We start from the raw sequence: 10,579 nt of genomic DNA, 5'->3' as shown, positions 1-10,579 counted from the left end.
CAGATTGGTAAATTGGTACCTAGATAAAAGAATAAGCCCAAATGTTTAATAGCACAGTAGAGTGAGTATAGTCAACAATATAGTGTATATTTAAAAATTGCTAGAAGAGAGGATTTGAAATGTTCCCAACACAAAGAAATGACAAATGCTCAAGGTGATGGAAATCCTAAATATTTTGACTTCATCGTTACACATTCTATGCATGCATCAAAATATCACATTCGCCCCATAAATATGTACAAATATTATGTATCAATAAAAACACCATCTTATAATGTATTTTAATAGGCAATTCTCCAAAGAAGATAAGCACACCGAAAGGTGCTCACTTTTGTTAGTCATTAGGAAATAAATGCAAATCAAACCACAATGAGATGCCACTTAGCATCCACTTGAATGGCTGCAATAAAAAAATCCAAATAATAACAAATGTTCGCAGGGCATGGAAAAATTAGGACCTTCATCTATTGTTAGTAGAAGAGTGCAGTCACTCTGGATTTGGCAGTTGCTAAAAATGTTAAAATGGTGTAACTATATGACCTAGCAATTTCATTACTACCTATATCTCCAAGGAAAGTGAAAATATGTACATTCAAAACTTGTACATGAATGCTTATAGCAGTATTTTTCATATTAGCCAAAAAGTGAAAACAACCCAAATTTGTACCAACTGCCAAATGAATAAACAAATATATGTGATATATATACATATACACCCACAAACATAACAAAATACTTGGCAGTGAAAAAAGGAATGAAGTACTGATACATGCTATAATATGGATGAAACTAGAAAGCATTTATGACAAATGAAAGAAATCAGTCACAAAATACCACATATTATATGATTCAATTTACATGAAATGTCCTAAATAGGCAAATATATCAAGCAAATAGATTGGAAGTTGTCTTTGTCAAAGGAAAATTGCATCGGACGAGTTAAACAGCCAAGGAAGACTTTATTCAAGACTTTATTGCAATAGGGGAAAGAGACTGATCTCAACTCTGCCAAAACAAGAGGTGGGAGGGGTGAGCTAGTGGGAAAGTATTGTAGAACATTAGGGGGAAAGTTGGTCAATGTGTTAAGGCCATCAGTGTTTGCTAGTTGGAGATATTAAATTGAGGCTTCTATCTCCCACAGAAGCTGGGAGGTAGTGGTGATATCTTCTTCAATAATTATATTTCAAAGAGAAGACTACTGGATTATTTTACTTTTCCTAAGTTGTAAAACTTGCAAGAGGCTGGGAGACTTATCTACATTTCAAAGAGACATAGACAAATAATAAATAAAATATATATATATCTATTATATATTATAAGATGGTAAGTACTATGGAGAAAAATAAAACATAGCAGAGGAAATAATGACTTAGCAGGGGCTGCAATTTTTTAAATGACAGTCTGGAGGCACATTTTGAAAAGAAAACATTTGAGCATATTGTTGAATCAGAAAACATAAACCAAGCACTTCAGGTAAAGTGCATTCTAAGTAGAGGGAAAAACCAGTTCAAAGGTTCTGAGGTAAGAAATGCCTGAGTTTGAAAATAGCAAGGGGAGTCAATATGTCTTGGAAAAGGTAAATAAGAAGAGTAGTAGGAAGCGAAATCAAAAAGGAAATCGTTTATGTTGGGCTTTGTAGGCAATTTAAAAGTTCTGGTTTTTAGTCTTTATATCATGGGTAGACATTATTGGAAGGTTTTGAGGACAGAAGTGGTATGATCTGTCTTACATTCTTCAAGGATCACTCTCACTTATATCGGGATTCAATTTTCAGGGAGCAAGGGTGGAAGCAGGAAGACATAAGGTCACTGCAAACTATAGGCAAGAGATGGCAGTGGTTGTTAGGAAGTGTTGAAAAGTGGTCAGAGTTTGGATATATACCAAAGGTAGATGTGTATGGATTATATGTGATGCATGAGAGAAAGAGAAATGTTAAGCATAATGCCAACGATTTTATTATATGAATAACTGGAAGGATAAATTTCCTTTAACCAACATGGAAAGAATGTAGGATAATGGATTTGGGAGTAAAATGCACACTAATTTTGAAATGTCTATTAGACATCCAAATGGAGATGTTGGGAATGCAATCAAATCTATGAAACTGGAATGTAAAGAAAAGCACTGAGTGGATTTATATATTTATATCTGGCCTTCACTTGGGGCCAGATTTGCATTCCAGTCTGACAATTTTCCAACTTTTCCCTAGCTACCTCCCTCTTTCTTCAGAAAGATTTCAAGAAGTGTTGCAAGCAGGATCTGAGCTGGCATTGATACCGAGAGACCCAAAGTATTATTATGCTCTCCTTTCCTCTCCCTGGTTCAAATGGGAACCTATGAACCCAGGTAATAAATGGAGTTTTGGTAAAAGTATGACTCTCAGTGCGTCCAGTAAGTCTGCACACCTATTCAGCGGCCATTTCTCAATTTCTGAGCACATAATTGCAATTTATATACTTGGCAGTAGGAGTGACTCCACATTGAGTCCTTTGTCTATGGAGTAAGAGGTACTGTACTGGGGAAAGCCAAATAGAATCCTTTGAAACTACGTTTTCATCCAACCCTATCCAAGAAAACAATATTTTCTTGGGATATATGGTGAAGATTAATGCCACCATTACAGACTTAAAAAGATGCAGAGAGGCTGGGCGCAGTGGTTCACAACTGTAATCCCAGCACTTTGGGAGGCCAAGGTGGGTGGATCAAGAGGTCAGGAGATCGAGACCATCCTGGCTAACATGATGAAATGCTGTCTCTACTCAAAATACAAAAAATTAGCCGGGCGTGGTGGCGGGCACCTGTAGTCCCAGCTACTGGGGAGGCTGAAGCAGGAGAATGGTGTGAACCTGGGAGGCAGAGCTTGCAGTGAGCCGAGATCATGCCACTGCACTCCAGCCTGGGTGACAGAGCAAGACTCAGTCTCAAAAAAAAAAAAAAAAAAAAAAAGATGCAGAGATAGTGGGCCCTGATCATATATCTATCTAATTTGCTATTGTGGCCTCTACAGATGCAAGAGAAATTCTAAAGACTATTGCAGACTTTACCAAGTAGTAGCCCCAATAGCCATTGCTATGTCAGGCATAATGTCATTGCAAGGGAAGATTGATAATAACTCAGGCACATAGTATGTGGTCTTTTATTTCACAAATGCATTTTTTTTCATCATACCAATTTTAAAGGACACCACAAACAGGTTTCTTTCACATGAGCTAGACAATACGCATTTACAGTTTTGCCACAGGGCTATGTTAACTCTCTCACCCTGTATCACAATAAAGCCCAAAGAGATTTGGATAATGAAGAAATCACAGAGCACCATACTGAACCATTACAATGATGGACCTAAGAGTAAGACGTTAACTCAAGCCATTTCTTATTCAAAGTGACACAGTAAATGAAAAATGGCTTGAGTTAATGTCTTACTCTTATTGTGCTGCTATAGCAAAATAACATAGACTGGATAAATTATAAAGAACAATAATTTATTTTCCCACAATTCTGTAGGCTGGGAAGTCCAAGATCAAGACACTGGCAGGTTCAGTGTCTGAAGAAGGCTACTCTCTGCTTTCAAGATGACACCTTGACGCTGTATCCTCCAGAGGGAAGGAGTTCTATGTCCTCATGTGGCAGAGGAGCAAAGGAAAGTGAATCCACTTTCACAAGTCCTTTGTATAACAGCATGAGTTCATTGATTAACAGATTAAGACCCAAACACTTCTTAAAGGGCCTATCTCATAACACTATCACACTGACAACATGTGAATTTTGGAGGGGATACATTCAAACCATAGCCCCATACTAATGAACCCTGTCCAGAAAAGTTACTGGCAGTGGGTAAGGAGAATACGGATTGTATTATGGATAAGGCAGGATCACCAACCTAGGTCTTTTAAGTAGCTAAAGAAGTAGCCATATTTTGCATTAGTTAAGTCCTGTTGGTCCCCTCGGTTTCTTCTGCTTTCCTTTCTTAATCACTGATTATAATTAATATTTTAGGTTTCAGAAGGAAGTATTATTGAATTGATGTGCTGTGGGACTTTATATGTCTCCCGTATGGGAACACACCTATCACCTAGGACAAAGACAGAAGTGTATGCTGAGAAACAAAGGGATGAACTGTGCTATGTATCTTCTATTTGTTCCCTTAGATTCAGCCTCTACCTGGCTCTTCTTCCTCAAAGAAGAACTTGCATTGACTGTTTCAGCAGACTCACTTGTCCCCTGACTTCCAGTTGAATTTGGACAAAATAATCCCCAGCAGATGAGTAGTGGGAAGGAAGACAGAAACATTGAGTATGCAGCACAGCAGCTCTTTCCCTAGAAGTTTCTGTATGAAAGGTGGTCACACTCCTAACCTTTTAAATAGCCTCTTTAAAAAAAACCCTCCTCAATTGATTCAAATTTATTGTACTTTCTGTTTTTGGTGTCAATCAAATTTGTTAAAATCCAGAAAATTATCCACAAAATTGTTCAGTTTACTTGAAAAAAGAGAAATGAGGATTATAATACAAGATGTCACAAGTGCATCCAGTGAGATAGAGGTAAAGGAAAGCTTTTCTTAGCAAAAAGGAAGAGGTGCCTTTAAGCTGTTTAGAATGCTTAGAAACATTGTTCATTGACTCCAAAGAACCAAAGCAATAGTCCTCAGTTCGTTGGTGGAGATGACATTACTGGGCAAATGTCCTTTTGAGAGCATTTTATCTTAATTATTACAGTCCTAAAGAATGTTCAGTGATAAATTTTGTCGTAGAAATGTAAGTACCTGTGCAAAAATGTGTAAGCCTGCATAGCAAGAGATGTGTAAAGAATGTCAAGGGATTCCTTGTGGATTTTAGAAAGTCCTTGGAAACAGTTCTTATCTCACACATGTAAGCACTAGCCTCCTCTCCTTGATGTCTTCACAGCCCTGTTTAGTTTGGGCCTTCTAAAAGTAATTTCATCCTGATATCTGCAACTTTCACACCTTCTGGGACCCTGACTTACACACTATTACGTATTTTCGTTTATTGTGGCCTAATTTCAAAATTTTATGTCCATGCTAATCATATGGTCTACAGCATAATACTTAATATGAAAATAACTGAAGGAATTTTTTTAGCCAAAGAAAGTAATCTGAAGCTTATAAGCTTTGAAATTAATTGCTAGCTTAAAGAAAAGTGAATACAATTTGACCTAATAAGGTCAGCTATAATATAGGGTAAGTTCATTCCACTGAAAACCAAGTTTGTTTTCAAAGCAAGTAAAATTATGTTTATACTTAATGTGTTATTACTGTATTTAGCACAATATGCAATTATTTTAAAATTAATGATTCTGTTTATAGGTTTTAATCCCTAAATGTAAAACTGAAACTCAATTAAAAATTTTTTAGTGATTATTAAGATGATATTTCTTTTTGATTAAATATATTATATTCACTATTTTATCTTTGAGTTTAGTACAATGAGTGACCTACTTCCATTGAATTACAATCAACTATCAATTTTGATTGAATGAATGAAACCTAGCTAAAAAAAGTACTAAAAATATTATATAATGGATCCAGGACTTTGTATTATAATCTTATGCAAAATCTAAGCTGAATTTCAAATAATGGAAAATGTATTCAATGTGAAATTGTTGATAATTCTTGAATTTCTTTAACATTTTTTAAAGTTATAAAATACAGGAAAAAATTTATGGTTCATTTTAATGACAGAAATATGAAATATATTCTTGTATATTAATTAAGATGACGAATGGTTCTGATATTAAAATTAATAATCACAATTCTCTGGAATGTGTTAAACCAATCCTGTTTTCCTTAATCTCTCTAAGTCTAATAAATTTTGTTGGCATTGCCCTTTTTTTGAAGTCCAAATCTTTCAAATTTGGTATGCAAGCCATCAAGTTTAAAAGAAATATTTATTCCAGGATTCAAGGTGACCTTTGTTCATTGTGACATATGTCTACATATATGAATGTGTATACGTATCGAATCAAGCATTGAGCAATTTCTGTTCATTTATGGTGTCTATGAAATTCTTGTTTATACAAACTGTGTCCATGTCGTGACTTTATTGTCCATAAATTGGAAAGATAAACTATTTAGAATTCAAATAAAAGGAAGTATCTAAAATTAACAAATAAAGCAATCATCTAACAAACACTGTAAACTTTTTTATTTTAATGAACATTGATAAGTATCATAGAGGAAAAAAGAAATAAAAGTTCTAACCTATGTAGTTTAAATACTTTCATTCAAATACAGGTGGTAAAGGTACAGTTTCCTCAAGGCAGTCTAAGTACAGTCAGCCCCCCATATTTGCAGGTTCCACATTCAAAGTTTCACCCACATGGATACAGTCTACTACTGATTAAAATTTTTTGAAAAAAATAAAAATAATACAACAAAAATAATAGAAATTTTTAAATGATACAGAATAACAGATGTTTATATAGTATTTATATTGTAAGAGGGATTATAAGTAATCTAGAGATGATTTAAAGTATAGAGGAGGATGTGCATAGGTTGAATGTAAATACTATGCCATTTTTATATCAGGGACTTGAGTATTTGTGAACTTTGATATCCACTGGGGTCCTGAAACCAATCCTCTGTGGATATCAAGGAATAATTGTATATGCCTGCCATCCTGGTTTAATTAAAAAGCTGTCTCTTTTATTATCAAAGGTGGCCTTAATAGTTCAACAAATTATATGGTCACCCTAGAGATAATGCAAATAAACCAATAACTAAAGTAGAAACGGGCAAGCAGTTAGTATCAGAAAATTGATACAAAGCATTATCATTGGAATTCATAATTGGGTGAGTTCAATTTTCCCTGGTGATCGGGGAAGTTTTCAAAGAATTGGCAATTATGTCAGATCTTAAAAAATAAAGAGTAAGATTTTAATAGAGATAAGATGAAGGGCAGATAGTTTATTTAAATGATGTACTTAATGTTTAAAATCTCCACATTAAGGATAAAATGTAAATTAAAACCATAATTTTTTTATAACAAATGTAGTTTTCTTCCTGAATGTACACTCATTGTTCAGTGAGAAAATGTTTCATTTTAGATTTATCTAGCTTTAACCTTCTTCTGTTTAGATAATCTAAAAAATGTCTTCAAGAGACTGATATACTATAGAAAAGAAATAAATGCTCAGTCTCTCATGTTTTTTAGTCTTTCACCCACAAGAGTATTTATTGCAAAGTATTTGTAATATTTTCATGTGGTCTAAATTTATTTTTTTAAATAAGAGTAATGCATTCATTTATTTATTTACTTTTATTTTCCTAGATTTAGGAGGTATAAGTGCTTGCACATTTTTTCACAGGTACTTACGTTTCTATGACAAAATTTATTGCTGAACATCCAAAAATGGATATATTGTGCAGTGATGAAGTCTGAACTTTCAGTGTACTCATCACCCAAATAGTGTACATTGCACCCAACAGATAGTTTCATAAATCACATCCCTCCCACCCTCCTACCTTTTGGAGTCTCTGCTATTACACTCTGTATGTCCATGTGTACTCATTGTTTAGCTCCTACTTGTTAAGTGAGACCTGTGGGTTTTTATTTTGTTTCTGAGTCATTTCACTTAGGATAATGGCTTTCAGTTCCATCCATGTTGCTGCAAAAGACATGATTTCATCCTTTATTATGGCTGGGTAGTATTCCATTATATATGTGTGTGTATGTGTGTGTGTGTGTGTGTATATATATATATATATATATATATAATATTATATATTTATATCTATCATTGTTCTGTCATTATCTATCTACATTATATATCAAATATATAATATATTTATATCTATCTATTATCTTTCTATCTATCTATCTCACAGTTTTCAATCCAGTCATCCGTTGATGAACACTTAGGTTGCTTCCATGACTTTGCTATTGTGAATAATCCTGTGATCATTATACAAGTGCTGTTGTCTTTTTGATATATTAGTTTCTTTTTTGGAGGGGTAGATATCCAGTAGTGGGAATGTTGGATTGAATGGTAGTTCGATTTTCAGTTATTTGAGAAATCTCCATATTGTTTTCCATAGAAACTGTACTAATTTACATTCCCACCAACAGTGTATAAGTGTTCCCTTTTCTCCACATCCTTGCCAACATCTGTTGTTTTTAGACTTTTTATGAATAGCCATTCTGACTGGTGTGAGATGGTATCTCATTGTGGTTTTGATTTGCATATCTCTGATGATTAGTCATGTTGAGCTTTTTTTCTTTTTTGTTGGCCACTTGCATGTCTTCTTTTGGAAAATGTCTGTCATGTCCTATGCCTACATTTTAATGAAGTTATTTGTTTTTTTCTTGTTAGATTATTTGAGTTCCTTGTAGAATCTGAACATTAGCCATTTTTCAGATGCAGAGTTTGAAATATTTTCTACCATTCTGTAGGGTTGTACATTTACTCTGTTGATTTTATTTTTCTGCACAGATGCTTTTTAGTAAAGTCCCACTTATCTATTTTTGGTCTTGTGTTATTTTTGAGGACTTAGGACTTAGTCATAGATTCTTGGCCTAAGCCAATGTCCAGAAGAATTTTTCCTAGGATTTATTCTTGAATTTTTATAGTTTCAGGCCTTACATTTAACTCTTTAAATAGTCTGGAGTTAATTTGTGGATATGGTGAGAGATAGCTGTCCAGTTTCATTCTTCTGCTTATGGCTATCCAATTTTCCCAGCACCATTTATTGAATAAGGTTTCCTTTCCCCAGTGTATATCTTTGTCAACTTTGTTGAAGTTGTGGCATTATTTCTGGGTTCTGCATTCTGATTCATTGATCTAAGTGTCTACATTTATACCAGTACCATGGTGTTTGGGTTACTATAGCCTTGTAACATAATCTGAAATCACAGCAAACATCATATTGAATGGAGAAGAGTTGAAAGCATTTCCCCAAGAACTGGAACAACACAAGGTGCTCACTTTCAATACTCCTATTCAACCTAGTACTGGAAATCCCAGCGAGAGCAATCAGGCAAGAGAAAGAAATGAAAGGGATCCAAATTGGAAAAGAGGAAGTCAAATGAGATCTGTTCATTTAACATATGGCCTCCTATCAAAGAAACCCTAAAGATGCCTCCAAAACACTCCCAGGTTTGATAAATGACTTCAGTAAACTTTCAGGATACAAAGTCCATGAATAAACTCAGTAGCATTTCTTTTTTTTCTTTTCTTTTTTTTCTTTTTTGAGAAGGAGTCTTGCTCTGTCACCCAGGCTGGAGCGCAGTGGCACTCGCTCACTGCAAGCTCCGCCTCCCAGGTTCAGGATATTTTCCTGCCTCAGCCTCCTGTGTAGCTGGGACTACAGCCACCCGCCAACTGCCCGGCTAATTTTTTGTATTTTCAGTAGAGACAGAATTTCACCATGTTAGCCAGGTTGATCTCGATCTCCTGACCTCGTGATCTGCCCGCCTCGGCCTCCCAAAGTGCTGGGATTACAGAAGTGAGCCACCGCGCCCGGCCTAAACTCAGTAGCATTTCTATACATCAATAATGATCAAACTGAGAACCAAATGAAGAACTCATTCCCATTTATAATAGCTACAAACATACCCCTAGGAGTGTGAATATACACCAATGAGGTGAATGATCTCTACAAAAAGAACTACAAAACACTGATGAAAAAAATCTAGATGACACAAATTATAATATATTTTAATGCAATAAGTTAAGAACACTGTATTTTTCTACTCCAGCAATACTTCCAATATAGCTTGTGTGAAAGGATAGTGGCTAGGAGTTACAGAAAAGGAGGAGTTGAATTAGAACTATGTTTAGTTTGGGTTAGATTTGATGTATTTTTGAACTTCATTCTCATTCCTGTAGAAGGTTCTCCTTTTCTTTTCCCTTTTCTTTTCTTTTTTTCTTTTCATTTCCTTTCTTTTCTTTTCCTCCTTTCTCTTCTTTATCTCTCTCTTCTTTTCTTTCATATCCAACAGTTATTTTAAGTTCATGAGTACCTGTGCTGAATGTACAGGCTTGTTACATAGGTAAATGTGCATCATGGTGGTTTGCTGCATAGATCATCCCATGACCTAGGTATTGAGCCCAGCATGCACTAGCTATTCTTCCTGGTGCCTTCCGTCCTCCCACCTCCCATGCCCCCATATTCCAACAGGCCCCAGAGTGTGTTGTTCCCCACCCTCATCTGTCCATGTGTTCTCATGATTCAGCTCCCACCTATAAGTGAGAACATGTGGTATTTGGTTTTCTGTTCCTATGTTAGTTTGCTGAGGATAATGACTTCCGGCTCCATCCATGTTCCTGCAAAGTACATGATCTTGTTCCTTTTTATGGCTGCATCTATTTCATGTCGTATACGTACCACATTATTTTAGCCAGTCTATCATTGATGGGCATTTAGGTTAATTCTGTGTCTTTGCTATTGTGAATAGTACTGCAATGAACATACCCATGTATGTATCTTTATAATAGAATGATTTATATTCCTTTGAGTATAAACCCAGTAATGAGATTGCTGGAACAAATGGTATTTTTGCCTCTAGGTCTTTGAGAAATCACAACAGTCTTCCACAATGGTTGAACTCATTTACACTTCCAC

This window comes from Homo sapiens, chromosome 12 (genome assembly GCF_000001405.40).
Source record: "Homo sapiens chromosome 12, GRCh38.p14 Primary Assembly".
In the NCBI taxonomy this organism is placed as follows: domain Eukaryota; kingdom Metazoa; phylum Chordata; class Mammalia; order Primates; family Hominidae; genus Homo; species Homo sapiens.
The sequence above is the reverse complement of the archived record's forward strand: the minus strand, read 5'-3'. Positions refer to the sequence as shown.